Source organism: Homo sapiens, chromosome 1, assembly GCF_000001405.40.
Source record: "Homo sapiens chromosome 1, GRCh38.p14 Primary Assembly".
Classification (NCBI taxonomy): domain Eukaryota; kingdom Metazoa; phylum Chordata; class Mammalia; order Primates; family Hominidae; genus Homo; species Homo sapiens.
The window spans coordinates 41,443,567-41,459,162 of NC_000001.11; the positions used below are offsets into that span (position 1 = coordinate 41,443,567).

General features: G+C 51.8%; 1 long non-coding RNA gene across 3 annotated transcripts in view, besides 1 other annotated feature; it reads left to right on the forward strand.

Moving 5' to 3' along the window:
- LOC105378678 (uncharacterized) overlaps positions 1–15,596 on the forward strand; it is a 38,609-nt gene that overhangs the window by 17,186 nt on the left and 5,827 nt on the right. For 2 of the 3 annotated variants that reach the window (XR_007066029.1, XR_007066028.1), the window contains 2 exons: positions 10,611–10,686; positions 11,705–11,750. This is a non-coding gene — a long non-coding RNA (uncharacterized LOC105378678). Of the gene's footprint in view, positions 1–6,173; positions 6,802–10,610; positions 10,687–11,704; positions 11,751–15,596 lie in introns of those variants that run through there. The other variant, XR_007066030.1, reaches the window with a different exon arrangement.
- Positions 7,508–8,067: an enhancer, noted in NCBI's record as "H3K4me1 hESC enhancer chr1:41916745-41917304 (GRCh37/hg19 assembly coordinates)". NCBI's record gives its function as "activates a minimal SCP1, AML or CMV promoter by ChIP-STARR-seq in naive H9 embryonic stem cells {active_cell/tissue: H9 hESC(naive)}" and the evidence as "EXISTENCE:reporter gene assay evidence [ECO:0000049][PMID:30033119]".

Here is a 15,596-nt window from a genome sequence, read left to right on the forward strand (position 1 = left end):
GGTGCACACCATTATGCCTGGCTAATTTTTGTATTTTTTTTTTGTAGAAACAGGGTCTCACTTTGTTGCCCAGGCTGGTCTCAAACTGCTGGGCTCAAGCAATCCACCCATCTGGCTCCCAAAATGCTGGGATTACAGGCATGAGCCACCGCACCCAGCCCAAGGAAGACATTTTTTCAAGTTCCTATTATTCAGCTATTCAGTCACTCACTCACAAGTGCTTGCTGGGTCCCCACTATGTGCTCAGCACTGTGGGGTGAGCAAAAAAGATAGTGTGCTGGTAAACAACAGCAAAAAAAATAGTGTGCTTTTCCCCATAGGGCACACATTCTCCCGAGAAAGGCAGGCCAAAGGGAATTTTAATAATCATGCCTACTACCTACATACTTCCTCAGGCTTCAGTTAAAGTAGGCATGATTATTCTTATTAAATATATAAGGAAATTGAGGATCCAAGAAGTCAAAAAGCATGTGCAAGTTCACACAGCTGTTATATGTCAGACCTGAGGTTGGAATTTTCTCCTTTTAGTGGTTGACAGGTAAGGGCAGCAACCTGAGGTCAAGCAAGAAAGGGTCTTGGGAAGAGCCAATGAGATGGTCAAGTGCTCTGCAAGTGTAACCAGAATCACCTGCCTCACTAGCTTGGGAGTATTGTTTACACACATCTTAAAATTTTCCAGGTACTTGCTCAAAAACCTACCTGCACACTTAAGAGATGTCCTATACCTCCTGATCAAAGCCATTAACTGCCTTTGTCTGAATGAACCCAGGAGATTTCTCTGACCAGAGGAGAGACTCCTGCTCCTAATGCTGAGACTTGAGAAATTCTAGTTCTCATCAGCCTATCAGCGTTTCTGCTTCTATTGCTGCCGCATGGGGTCGCTGTTGAAGACATGTTCTGCACAGCTTTGTGAACCCTTGTCTTCTGTTGCAGTGGAGCCTGTGCTCCTGTGATCTCCACAGGTTGGCTCCAAGGTTATAGCTTCCTTAGACTCACATCTGCACCCTTGATGACTGGCCCCCAAAGCAAATTACTGTGCCAGGCCAAGAAGGGCTTCTAGCTTCAGCCATGTGGAAAACCAAAACCAGCCCTCTACTAACATCCCAGCCCCTGAACTGGGCCAGTGCCTTATTTCAGATCCTCCCTGCACTCGTGGAGGGCAGGAAGGTATTTAGTGTCTTCTCTGGACAATGGATTATCTCAACCTATAGGAGAGAACACTGAACATGGAGGATTTTTGGTCACTATGCAGACTTTCCCACCAATGCCTCAGAGACCAGCTCTGCAAACAAAGGGGGAGTGGGAGAAGCCTTTTCCAGGCCACAGTAAGTCCTGTCACATCCTTCCCCAAAACCACAGGGGCCTCCTGGCTCTGTCTGGAGAGCTAAGAGAGACATGCCTTCCCCACACTGGTCAAGTGACACTTCCCTGAACAGGGAAGGTTTGTTCCAAGAGGCAGCTCTACTTACACTTCAACAGAGAAATAGCTGGCAGCTTCTCTCACCACTTGCCAACCCTAAATTAAACTCTTCTTTTCCAGGCACTCTGGTATAGAAGCATCTTCCTCTTTCATCCTCACAAACCACCCTGTGAAGAAGAAGCTGTTGTGAGGATTAAATGGAATGATGCATGATTTGTGGCAGGAAAAGAGTGGCTACTTAAGGAATGATGGGTGCTTTTCTGGATGGAGTTTGGGTTCCTCTTCAGCACTGAAAACCCATCTTAGGCCCCTTGCTTAAAGATTGCTTGACAACTACTTTCTTGATTCGATGTAACTCCCTCCCTGGCGGGAGGATAAAACAGGCTCTTTAATGCTTCCCCAGGCAAGGCAGAGGTTGCAGTGAACAGAGATCGTACCACCACACTCCAGCCTGGGCAACAGAGCAAGACTCTGTCTCAAACAAACAAACAAACAAACAAAAACAAACAAACAAACCATGCTTCCTCAAGCTTCAGTTAAAAGGCCTTTCCCCCCTACTCCCCAACCATCGTGCTCACCCTGACCCCTCTAGATGGCACCACCAGGTCTGCCTGAGCATCTGGGAGAGGGAAAGTCTGTGGGCAAGATGTATCTGGAGTGGGTAAAAGGGAAACAGCAGAGCAGGCACTCCATCTGGCAGACAGGTGGGCAGATGGAGCCCCTGGGCCAGGCTGAGCAGAGGCCAGAGAGCTGAGCCCAGCTAGAGAAGGTGAGCAGGCAGTGCCCTGCCTACCTGGCTCCAAAGTCCTCATCCCTGCAAGATCTGAGTTGTGTTTGCAGCACTTCCCTGGATGGACTGCAAGTGGAGGCTGTGATCTGATCTGCCCTGTCATGGCATCACTGATGGGCAGTGCCACCCTGAGCTGGAGGGGGCTCATCCTGAACAAATGGCCTCCTGACAACAGGCCCTATGTTGGCATGGATGCCTCTGCCCTTCCCCCTTCAAGATCCCCAAATTTGAGCTTTTCCAACCAAGGCGGGTGACCTCTGAGTCCGGGGGTGAAGGAGCAGACACCTCTTGGTTCTCTGAAAAATGTCATTGGTGACAAGGGGTAGAGGGAAAGCACCAATTTGCTCTATGGCTTATCCAGATCCGGTTGCCTTCACAGGCCACAGTGCCCTCTCTCCAAGAGGACTGTTGAAGTTCCTTCTGGCTCTGACATTCAGTGGCAAAATAACAATGACCAACCTTTGGAGCACTCATCTAATTAAATCCTCCTGAGCTAGTACAAATATTATCCCCAATTTATTGACAAGGAAACTGCAGCTTAGAAAGGATAAGTAGGCCAGGTGCGGTGGCTCACACCTGTAATCACAGCACTTTGGGAGGCCGAGAGGGCGGATCACGAGGTCAGGAGATTGAGACCATCCTGGCTAACACAGTGAAACACCGTCTCTACTAAAAAATACAAAAAATTAGTCGGGCGTGGTGACGGGCACCTGTAATCCCAGCTACTGAGGAGGCTGAGGCAGGAGAATGGCATGAACCCAGGAGGCGGAGCTTGCAGTGAGCCGAGACTGCGCCACTGCACTCCAGCTTGGGTGACAGAGCAAGACTCCATCTCAAAAAAAAAAAAAAAAAGAAGGAAAAAAAGAAAGGATAAGTAAGTTGCCCAAGGTCACCCAGCTGCTTGGTGGCAAAGCCTGGATTCAAATCGGAGGTTCTCCAACTGTAGAGTCCAGCACACTTAACTCTTCTGCTATGCCATCCGTGCCCCCTTTGGACAGTGTGGAGATTAGTCAGTGCTAGTCTAGGCTGATGTTTTGCTGATGACAATGAATTCATCCTCTGTTCTGGTTTCGTGCTCTGTGGCTTTAAGAAAACTTTCTTCTCTTTCTGCTTTAGTTTCTGAAGAAACTGGCCAAGCTGGCTTCGAACCGGCAGCCAAGAGAACTCCGTGGAGTATGTCAAGCAGGATCTTGCCTAAGAACACAGATGTGCGTGTGGAGGGGAGAGCCCAGGGAGTAATTAGGGCAATATCTCGAAGGGGGAGACGTGCCTCCTCTCGGGGGAAGACCGTGAGCCCATCTGTCAACAAGCCCTCCTTGACTCCTTCTCTGGGCTGGGCACTGTGGGGGGTAGAGGGATGCAGGAGCACAGAGCTCCCTCCCAGGTCTGAATGCTCTGACATGAAGACACCCCTTCTGCTCTCCTTCCCCAGAAGCCCCAACCCCCATACCCTAGAGCTCAAATCCTGTGAGGAGAGATAAGATTTATACATGTGAAAGTGAAGGAACAAAGGGATGATTTGCTCCAAGTGTGTGGTCTATTGGCTCTTTAATAAGCATTGATTGAGCTTTTTCAGAACCAGGACAGGGCTAGGCAAGGGAGACCCAGAGATGGAAGGGGCTGAGTCTCCCCTCTTAGCACAGGCCAGATGGAGGACAGGCTTGTTAGCCAATCAGGGCCAAAGAGAGGAAAGAAGCTTAGAAGCTTCACAGTAGCACGCAATAGGTGCCCAAGCACTTGCTTAAATACTTACTGTGGATTTTTAAATTTTTAATGTTCTTAAAAATGGAGATGGGGTCTACACTATGTTGCCCTGGCTGGTGTCAAACTCCTGGGCTCAAGCGATCCTCCTGCCTTAGCCTCTCAAGTAACTGGGACCACAGGCATGAGCCTACACCCAGTTGGATTTCCTTATTTAATCCTCATAAAATTCTATGAGGTGGGGGCCATTACTGCTCCCATTTTATGCATGAGGCAGCTGAGGGTTTGTAACTTGTCTAAGACCCTGCAGCTTGTAAGAGATGGAGGCAGGATAGGAACCCAGGAAACATGGCTTTGAAGGCTAAGTCTTCGAGTGCTGGACTCTGGAGAGGGCAGACCTCAGCCCAGGGGCCAAGGACGGCAATTGGAAGAGAGAATGTTCGGGCTGGTCTCAAGGAGGAGTTTATCAAGGAGGGATGAGGGCCAGAGCCATCTGGGCAGGGAGTGTCTGGAGGCATGAAGCAAGGAGCATGTTTGGCAATGGGGCATTGCCAGAGGGGATGGGTGTTTATTGTGTGGGTAGTGTGGTGCTGAGACAGTAAGTGGGGATGGATGAGGAAGGGCCCCAAGTGCTTTGTGACTTCGTCCTGGAGATAGTGGAGGATGCTTGAAGGGATGGTGGGTGGGTGCTCTGTCGACCCAGGGGAAGATGGCTGTGTGGTCAGGAACGGAGGTGTCGAGGAGGATATGGGCTTGGGCTGGCTAGAACATCCAAGAAAGAGAGAGGAGGGGAAGTGGTGGGAGCAAAGGGGGGGAGGGGGAGGTCCCCAGTCTGGATAGGGGGAGGCATGTGGAAAGGGTTAGGGCCAAGGAGCGCTGGAAAAGTGGGTGGAGTCCAATCATGAGGCCCTTAAATTCCACACTAAGAGTCTGCTCCTGGGCCATCAGCACAGGCTGTATGGACAGGGAAGCCTGGTCAGCTGGGGCTCTGCGGTGCTATGGGCCAGGCACAGTGTGGTTGTAGAGTAAGCAAGACAGACATGGCCCCTGGCCTTCATGGAATTTGCAGTCCAGGAGCCGAGACAGACATGAATCAAGCAGCCTCAGGCACCCATGGCTGACTGCAAACAACCTGGCAGCTGATGGAAAACTCAGGGGCCCCAGGGGAGTGTGAGCTGGTAGGAAGTGCAGAAGCAACTCTAGGCTGCATCTCTTGGGGATGGGGAGAGGGGGAAGGAAAAGCATTCCAGGCAGAGGAACCAGCAAGCGCACAGCCTCAGAAGCAGCAAGGAATGGAGGCATTGAAAGAAAAGCAAAAAGGCCAGGGAGGCTGGAAGGCAGAGAGCTAGGGGGAGGGAGATGCTGAAGATTTGGGGGTTTGACTGGAGAAGAGTTGGGAGATGGTGAAGGGTTTTAAGCAGGGAAATGACCAAAAGATCTGTGTTGTAGAAAGATCCCTGGCTGCTGTAAGCAGAATGGAATGAGGGGGAAGTATGGCTTTGAGGGACCAGTTAGGCAGCTGCTGCAGACTCTCAGGAGCAGCTGGAGAGCCCCGGCTCAGGTCACAGTGAGGGAGTCAGAAGCAGGTGGGTGGCCCACACAGTGCAGGTGCTTGGAAGATGGATTCAGCAGGACTTGGTGACTGGCTGGGGAGGCGGGTGAGAAAGAAGAAGGGGTGGATGGAGGGGCTATCTACGGAGATGGGGGGGTCGGGAGGGAGGGGGTGGTCTTGAGAGAAAGAATCATGAGACAGTTCTAGCCAAGCTTGGATTGAGGTGCCTGAGAGACACCTGAGTGCAGGCAGCTGGGTGCCCAGGCCTGGGGCTCAGGAGGCGGGTGTGGGATGATCTAGGAATTATGAGCTAGAGATGGAAAGTCAGCTATGGGGGAGGCTAGGGAGAGAACATGGGAAGAGAAGAGGGCCCAGGACACAACGTCAATGACTGTTGGAAGAAGAGGCACCAAGGACACCGAGAAGCTGCTGGCGGAGCAGTGGGGGAATATCAAGTCAGAGAATCCAGAAGGCCCTTGGAGGGTGTGGTCTGCAGGTGTGAGGAGGCCGAAAGCCCAGGCAGGTTGACGACTGTAAAACGCCGGTTGGATTTAGCAAAATGGAGGTCCGGGGCCTTGAGCAGGAGCAGGTTGAGTAGAGGGTGGGGAGGGGCAGAGACAGCCTCGTGGGAGGTGAAGCCTAGGAGATGGGACTTGGAGATAACAGGTTACTGCCAGGAACTGGGGCTGAAGGAGGAGGAAAGGAATGGGACCGAGTTCAATTGAAGAGGATAGACAGGCTTGATTTGTTTGCTTGTTGGTTTTTAGGGTGGGAGGAACTGGGCATGTTTAAGAAGAGGGAGCCAGTCAGGAGAGAGAGGTTCAGTGTCTTTCCCAGAATAGACCCTTGAGGCTAAGAACAACAACAAAAAATCCAGTAGAGCCCCAGGAGGAAAGGAATTTGGCTTTTTAGCTGAGTAGTGAAAAGGCAAGCTGGCAATTGCCCTTTGGCTCTGCCAGGGAAGGTCAGAGAAAGGCCTCCCCAGTGATGGAGAGGGGAAGGAAGTGAGGGGGAGAAAAAACAGTGGAGAGATAAACAAGCCTTGGCTGGAAGGAGGAGAGAGAAGCCCCCTCTGAAGGTACCTAGGGGTATTAAAAGGGGGAAGTTAACAGTGAGAACAAATAATAAAGATTCTTATATGTAGCCAAGGTTTGCTCTTTGTGTACTCTGAGACTACCATACGTAAAGGCTGGTGTTTGAACTTGGCTCCTAGCAGTGGCAGCTTGTTAGGGAAGAGTTCTGGCTCGGGAGGCAGGAGATCAGGCTTCTGGTCTAGCTCTGCCATTAACCGGCTCTGGAGCCTGGGCCGCAGTGTCCCATATTTCAGTTGGGCTGGAGGTGAGTGTTTCTAATACTTTCATGGGGTTTTGTGAGTTGGCAACCTCGTTACATGGCTGGTGGCTTGATGCTCCAGAAAGTGTGTTTGCTGCACGGGACTGCATGAGGTAATAATAGTGTTGATAGTGATAATAATAGCTAAAGTGTACCGAGTGGCATCTCTGTGATCTGCACTGTGCCAAGAGGTTTGACTCCTGAGGAGGGATCATACTCCCCATTTTACATCATGGAGATGCTGAATGCCAGGTTGAAGGGTCTGAATGGGAGTATAAGGAAGGTTTGGAAAGAAGGGTCGGCAAACCGATAGCAGGATCCACACAAGACGGGTGGGACAATGCTGGAGTCCAGCAAAGAAGGAAGGCAAGCAATAAACCCAGAGGCAATCTGTGGATGAGTCTGCATGGGGGAAGAGGCAGAAGGACTGGCCTGAGGGAGGCATCAGCGTCTCCAAGTCTAAGCATGGGCTGCCCACTTCCTTGGAAAGGGGCAGAAAATCTAAGCAAGGCCAGCTCTGAGCCTGTCAGAGAGTTGGGTTGGGACACGCCCGGGGGTATTTGGCTCTGGGATTTTGTTGTCTGTTTACTAACCGCTCTCCTGCCTCTGGCTGCAGCGGTGAGCTTGCGAAAGTCTTGGCCTCACTGTGTCTCTGTCTCACCGTTGCTGGAGGAGCCCAGTGGGTTACCTGGCCTCCCCTCCCTCTGCCGGGTCTCAGTTCCCTGCCACCTGCCCTGCAGGGCAGGTGGCCACTCGGACCCCAGTGGAGACTTGTCCCAGCCTCAGCCTCCCTGCAGCCCCTTCATGCCACATCTGTGTGTTCCCTGCCACCACCCTTCTGTGCTGTGCCTCAGGGAGGCCCCAGCCTCACTCCACATTTCCACTGGTTTTCTTTCCAAGCAAGTTCCCATCTATTATCCAATTTAATGCTCCTCCAACCTTGTGAGATCATCAGCTGAGCCATAAGCCCCTGAATCTGGGTCCCACAGCTGGTTGTAAAGCTGGACCAGAGGCAAGGCTCCTCCTGGTTAAGTGCCATATTGGAAAAAGGCCTGAGTGACAGGACTCTGGATTCCATTTCTGGCTCTGACATTATTCCCTGTGTGACCCTGAATAAGCTCTTGCTCTCCTGTGCGGAAAGGAATGGGGTGGACGAGGTGACCTTTACTGTCTTCCCAACTCTGAAAGTCTTGGAAAGATTGAGCCGAATCCTTTAGTCAGCAAACATGCCTTGTCCCTTCCAGTGAGGCCAGCCTGGGCTGGAGCTGGAACCACTGTAGCAGGCCTGCCTTCTGGGTAGGGGTAACCCTAGCAAAAGGCCTGGTCCACAGATAAAAGGCCTGGCCACAGTCAAAGGGGCAGCATACAAAAGGCCTCTGAAGGCCTGGCGTGGTGGCTCACACCTGTAATCCCAGCACTTTGGGAGGCTGAGGTGGGTGGATCACAAGGTCAAGAGATCAAGACCATCCTGGCCAACCTGGTGAAACCCCATCTCTACTTAAAATACAAACAATTAGCTGGGCGTGGTGGCTGGGCCTGTAGTCCCAGATACTCAGGAGGCTGAGGCAGGAGAATCGCTTGAACCTGGTGGGTGGAGGTTGCAGTCAGCCGAGATCCATGCCACTGCACTCCAGCTTGGGGACAGAGCGAGACTCCGTCTCAAAAAACAAACAAAAAACCAAAAGGCCTCTGAAAATCATCACAGAGACTGCCAAGCCCTTCTCATGGCCTCTTTCTGTCCCCCTAAATTCTCTCACACCCACCCTGTCCCCAGCCTCTCTTTCACCCCCAACCACACCATCACATAAAACCACTCTCCACCCCAAGCCTGGACGTGCTTCTGCTTACATGATGCCATTACTGTTGGCCAGAAACTCACTTAATCCTCGCTACAGCCACCCTATGCCATGAACATTATTATCCTCATTTTACAGACGAGGAACCAAGGCCTAGAGAAGCTAAGTGACTCATCCAGGTGTTCCCAGTGGGAAGTTGCAGTGCAGGATGTGGTCCCAGAGTGCAGGGTCCCAGTGCCTGAGGTCAAACCCGAACTGTCCTGCTCACCAACTGTGTGGCCTTGAGCAGAGGCCCCCTCACCCTCTCTTGAGTTTTAGCTTCCTTCCTCATAGAACAGATCTCCCCATTTCTACCTTTGGGTGGCTGTGAACAGACCCATGTCTGTCACCATCTGTGTACTCTCGCAAATCGCTCACCCTCTCTGAACTTAGAGGTTTTGTCTAGAAATGGGGAAAGCAACACCCACTTCACAGGGTTGGTGTGGGGATTATGACAGAGTATTGAGAAAGAGCTAGTGCTCAATAAACCCCAATCTCTGAAGCTGCCTAATTGTAAAGCGAATAGGGCCCTGTGGTTGGACAGACAGATTGCTTCTGATTATCCGCCATATTGTAAATATGGCTGCAGGGAACATCTTTTTGGCTTTCTTGGATTCATTCCTATGGATAAAGTCCTGGGGATTGATTGCGGCCCAGGTCAAAGGTCATGAACACTTATTCAAGTTGGCAGCTTTTTGTTATGGAGCAGGATTCCGGAGTCAGATAGTCCTGCGGGTGAATCCGCATTGGCCTATTTCCTAGTCACTAGCCTTGGGTAAGTGACTCCACCTCGCTAAGCCTCTGATTTCTTATCTGTAAACCAGGGTAATAACATTAACTGTATTAAGGGATTGTTGCCTGACATGAAGTACTCATAAACCCTACCTTTTATTACGGTCCTGACTTGCTCTGATACCCATCCTTAGTTAATCAATACGGAAGCCGAGGTCGAGTGAGGGGAGTAGTCTCCTACCAAGGTCACAGTCTGTGTGCAGCTGGTAACCCAGATCTATCTGGGGCTAGTTTCAGCATCTTCTTTGCAAACCCTGTCAGACTCAAGCCAGGGCTGGAATTGATATGGTGCAGGGACTATGGTGGCCCAAGACCTCATCCAGGTAGCAGAGGGAAAGTTCCAAATTGCTCTCCATGTCCTAAACAATGCCTGGGTGAGCCCCACTGTTTTCTTTCTCACCTCTCACCTCCATGCTTTTGCATCTGTTGTTTCTGCTAGAATGTTCTCCCTGACCAACCCACTTTAAACTGCATGACCTTCTTACCCACTGGACTATGATGGGGCCCTGCCTTCATCTCTGTCCGTTGATTGAATAGAATGAACTTGGGGAATTTCAGAGCTGGTCTGGATCAGTTTCACGTTTTCTAATGGAGAAGTGGACGCCTTGCCCAAGGACGCATGGTCTATCCACGAATGCATTTCTTGTGTGCCTACTAAGTATTTAGGGTGGGTGCAGTGCCCAGCCAGGAAGTGTCAAGGTATGGCAGAAGGAACACGTGTTTGGGGATCAAAAGACTTCAAGTCCACTCTCTCTCATTCCTTCGCTGGGACCTCAGGCTTGCTTTGGCTCCTCTCTGGGCCTCGGTTCTCCCACCTCTAAAATGGAGGTGATAAGCTCACCCACCTCTTGAGGCTAGTGTGAGTAGGAGTTGGAGACGCTGTGCCAGTGTTACACCCAAGTGTCATGTGGCAATGGCCCCAGCTGAGAGGGGGACTTCCAGGAGACAGAGAGCGGGGTCAGGCCTGGAGTCAGGCAGGCCTGGGACCAAAGCCTGGATCCTTCACTTACAGCTGTGTGACCTTGATTGAGTCACCTCCCTCCTCTGAGTTCAGTTCCTCCTCTATGAAGTCACCTCCTCAAAGTGGCCTTCCTTGGCCCACCTCCCACCCTTCATTTCTTCCATACCTCTGATCACAGGCCACAGTTCTCTCATTTGTTCTTTTTATTGTCTGTCTCTTCCTTCCAGAATATGCATTCCAGGAGAGCAGGGATATTTGTTTTGTTCCCCGATGTATCCCCTGGATCTAGCACAGGACTGGCAGGTAATAGGCACTCAATGATATTTGTTGAATGAGTGAATGGATGAATATGTGAATGCATTGGAGTTAGTACTTCCAACCTCCCAAGGGCGTTTAGAGGCGAAGGGCGAGATGCATAAGGTGTCCGGCCCAGCACATAACAGGCTCGCTCAGTGAGGATGGAGCTGCTGTTACCATCCTGAGGAAAAACTTTGCAGCTGCCTCCCAGGAAACTGGGCTCAAAGTGGGGGGCGGGAGAGCTCAGCAACTCCCACAGTGTAGCTTCCACTTCCTGGCTGGGGCTGAGCCCTGTAATTGCTCCCATCTCCTTGGCAGCCTCAGCAGCTGTCTAATGAGTTTGCACCCGGCTGGCCCCTGGGCTTGGCCGCACAGCCCAGGCCTGCCTGCCCAACTGCAGGCAGACAAAGGCCCTATGTCCCTGGGATCTGCTTCCTGCCCGCCCACTGCGTCCCTGACAAACCGAGGTCCCCAGCTGCCAAGCTCTGCTTCTGCAGTGAAGGAGCCCAAGATTCCCATGTGGGCCAGGGGCACAGAGCAGTGGAGAGGGCATTTGTCCTGGAGGATGGAGCCCTGGGTCCACATCCCTGCTCTTCTCCGGCTGAGAGGTGCTAGGGGAGGCGGTGGGATGTCATGCCCAAGAGCCTGACCAACAGGGTTGGAACCACGCCTCCACCACCTCTAGCTGTGTGACCTTGGGCAAGTCCCAGACTGCTCTAATCCTCAGTTTCCTCATCCATCAAGCAGGGGTAGATTACAGGAGCTCACGGGTGTACAGCTGTCAGCATAGGTCTTGGCACATGGAAGAGCTATTATAATTATTGGGGACCCCGTTTGATCCAGGGTCCTTGGTCTGCTCATCTATCAAATCAGGATTGCTCAACCTTGGCACTATTGACATTGGGACTGGATGATTCTGTTGGGGCTGTCCTGTGCATTCTAGGATGTTTAGTAGCATCCCTGGCATCAGCTGACCCAGTTTCAAGGTTTCTGTTACACTCTGAAATTCCCTGATTTGCTTTAGGAACCCCAGATTCTTCTCCATGGTCGGAATCATTGCAAAATAACTGGTAAGTATTCCTTCACTGCAAAATAATCTCCCTAGTCTAGGGGCCCCAAATGCCTCAGGCTGCTCACAATGAGCATTGGACATGGAGGATGATGGCGACGTCTTTAATTATGCAAGAGCTGTAACAGGACCCAACCCTGAGCATCCTGGAAACTCCTTGAAATGTTCCCCATAACACTTCTTTGGAGCCTCCCATCTTCCCCCTGGAATACACATGGCCACCAGCCCATTGTCTTTGTGCCCCACTCTGCTCTACATCCTGCTGCAGTCCCCATCTCAGACTCTGCCAAAAGGGCCCCTGTGCCCAGCATTCACTGCTTGTCCCCATCTCCCTAAACATCCTTTCCCACCACACCGTCCCCTGCAGTTGCCGAGCTCTCTTTGTACCCTCCATCCACTGTGCCTTTGCTGATGCTGTCCCTTCTACCCCTAGAGCTCTCTCTCCACCCCTCCCCTCCCTCCAGGCCTAGCTGTGAAGTTGCCTCTTCCTGAGGTTCTCCCAGATTCCTACATCAGAACAGCTCTGCCTGCCCTGGGCACCGGAGCCAACCCTGAGCTCACCACTCTGCTGGAACACATGTCTGCCCAGCATGGCATCCAGTTTATTTATGAGGCTGTCTGTCTGCCCCCCGTCCCAGGAGCCCCAGGGCAGGGCCCTGTCTGATTCATTGCCAGGCACAGGGTCTGGCCAGCATCAGGGAGCATGTGTTGAGCAGTACCGGTGAGAGCTGTCTCTGGGAGGAGGCATTGTGGGGCTGGCTGGCATGGAGCACAGGCCCAGGGCTGTGGAGTGGCGGGGCCAGGCCAATGCCAGTGCTGCTGGAGAAGGCTGAGGGCCCTCCTTCCCAGGTTCCCTCATCTTGCCCTCTCTCCTCCTCCCCTCTGTCACTGACTCATTCACTCAGCAACTTCTCTTGCTCATTCATGCATCTGCGTGCTCCGTCACAGACTCATTCACTAATAGGGGAGCTCATCCATTCATTCACTTTTATATTTGTCCATTCATTCATTCATTTCTTCACTTACTCCTCTATTCATCCAACAAACTTTCCTGAGCTCTGATATTACACCCCACTCTGACCTCTAGAGAAGCCCTGGAGATTCAGCGCTAAAGACCTTTTCTTCCGGAGTGGTGGTGATGGGTGGTACACACGTATAAATGAACAACTGCAGTCAGAGTGAAAGGGGCTATGATTGAGGAATACGTGATGTGACAGCAGAGGAATCTACACAGGCTTCATGCAGGAGGTGGCATTTGCATAGGGCCTTGGAGATTAAGAAGTCCCAAGCAAGGCCTAGAGAGGCTGGGCTCTGAGCTCCGGGATGGGGAGGAGATGGTTTCTAGAGGACTTAGGGACTGCTTGGCTGGGTGCCTGGGGAGAGAGAGGAAGGGACAAGAGTTGCGTTCAGCCCTCATCCTCCATCCAGAAATCCCGAGCGCACAAATACATATTCAGTGCCTGCTGTGTGCCAGACAGTGGCTGGGGATACAAGAACAACACGGACAAAGCCCTGCCTTCAAAAAGCTTACATTTGAGTGTGGGGAGGCAGAAAACTGAAATAACTAATAAAGGATGTAATGTCAGGTGGTGCTAAGTGCTTAAGAGCCGGAGAGCAGGGGATGGCTTGCTAAGTAGCTTGTTCGTGGAGGGCCTCCTGACAAGGCAATGCTCATGAGCAATGCAGTGTCTGGTGAGGGTGTCCAAGCAGTTTCCTGCTGGGAATGTCTTCTGCTTGCCAATTCAGTATCATACCAGCAGCCAGCATTGGGCTGAGCACGGAGTGGCTGTGCAAGCCAGGGCAGTCCTGGCTGTGTTTTCCTCTGGGTCTCGGTCTGCCCAGTCCACCGGGCTGAATCTTCATCTGTGAACCCTCATGCTCAGCACAGGGCCCGGCATGTGTGGCCTCCCTGAGGACCAGGAAGCAACACAGGGGTCGAGGTGGGACTGTAAACCCTGGGCAGCTGCTGCCCATCCAGGCAGGTGTCAGGGTTGGATGGGGAGGCTCAGGGGGCCCAGAGGGTTCCGGGTGCCCTGGGGGATGGGGCATCTTGCAGTAGGAGCCCAGCCCTTCACTGGGGAGGGGAGCATGGGGGAAACGGGGCAAAATAGTCAGCCCTGCTTTTCAGGCCTGGCCTTCCAGACCCATCCCTGCTCCCAGGAAAAGCAGCAGGGGCAGCCCCGAGGGCCCCCATTCCAGTCTCTCTGAGAGTGGAGGTTCTGGAAGTGGGGCCCTTGAGGTACTCTCTGAGGATCACACTGAGGCTTTTTCTGCTCCTGGAACCAATGGCTCTGGAGAGGGACAGAGTCCAGGGACCAAGCCTAGAACTAGGCCCAGGGAGGAGAGGGAGCTGGGCAGGGGTGAGTAGATCCTGTGGAGCCCCTCTCTCCCTAGCTCTTAACGTCTTTCTTCCTCCCCTTCCCCAAGCTCTGAGCCCAGCCTCTCCAGCTCTTACTTGCAGGTATGGGTCAGCCCTGGGCTTTCTCCTGGCTAGTGGCAGAGGCTCCTTCCACCCACTCTGGGGCTCCTGGGCTCACCCAGCCTGGGGGAGTGTCAGAGACAGTCCTGCCTGCACTGCTTAGGACTAATCTGAGAATAGAATCCTGAAGCCATGGCCTTAGGGAGAGATGGGGACCCTGGGACAGAGCAGAGCACACAGGGGCTCTGGGGTCTGGGGTGTGGCCTCTGGTCCCCAGCGTCTGCAGACCCCTCCAGAGATGCTAAGGGGCCTCAGCTCTGACCAAGGAGAGCACACAGCACTGGAGGGGGTAGCGCCACTCCTGCAGGAGGAGCGTGAGCAGAGGTTGGAAATTTGTGAGGACACTCAGACTTCAGATGGGTGGGGTGCCTTCTGCCCTGAGACTCTGCGATGGGAGAGGAGGAGGATCCAGGCCTTGGCTCCCAGAGCCACAGCCCTGCCTCGGCCCCCAGGAAACAATACTAAAGTCCTACAAATCCCCATGTGGCAAAGTTTTCGTTGAGGCTTTCCTGTGGCAAGGAGCGTTTACTCTTCTGGACCAGCTAGGATCAGGCCATTGTAAATTGTTGAAAATCTATGTCTAAATTTTAAAGAAATATTGTTGCTTCTTGAGTCATTTCTTTGTCTAGCAGATAGACTTCCTGCAGAGCAAACACCAAGGAACTCAGGATGTTTTGGATTACTTTTTAATCCTTAGGATTTTAAATTACAAGTGTAATTAAAACTTACACTGAACAGTCAAACATTTTAGTCATACACAACCTAGAAGGGGAAATCTCTACCCCCACTCCCCTACAAATTCTCTTCCCCAGAGATGACCACTGTTAACAGCTTAGAAGTTCACCCAGACTTCTGTCTGAATATTAGTGTTATGTGGATAATTGCTCTGACATAGCAATGCATATTTCCTCCCATAGTTCTTGTATGAGATTTTCCTCCTATTCAGCCAGAAGCATCCATTTGCTTCAGAGAGGATTAAAATAGATAGACAGTGATATAAAGAGGACTAATGAACAAGGCTCAGTTAAAAATGAGATTCAAAAGAGAATCTCGAAGTCCATATGAGACAAAAGTCTTGAAAGCTGGCTTTGTTGATTAACATTTTGGTTAGGATGCTTTGGCTGCAGGTAACAGTAAGTACAACACAAACTTGATAAACAATGAGATACATTGACTCAGGTCCCCAGACTCCAGAGACAGACTAGGCTTCAGAGCTGGCTTCATCAGTGACGCTGGCCCATCTCTCTAAAGTTCCCTTGGTGTACCTTGCTTTGTCTAATGGCTTAATCTGTGGGATGGCATCCCTTAGAATTACCATGTGGCTGGACAGTACAATTATTCTGAGGAAAGGGGAGCACATCTGTTCTT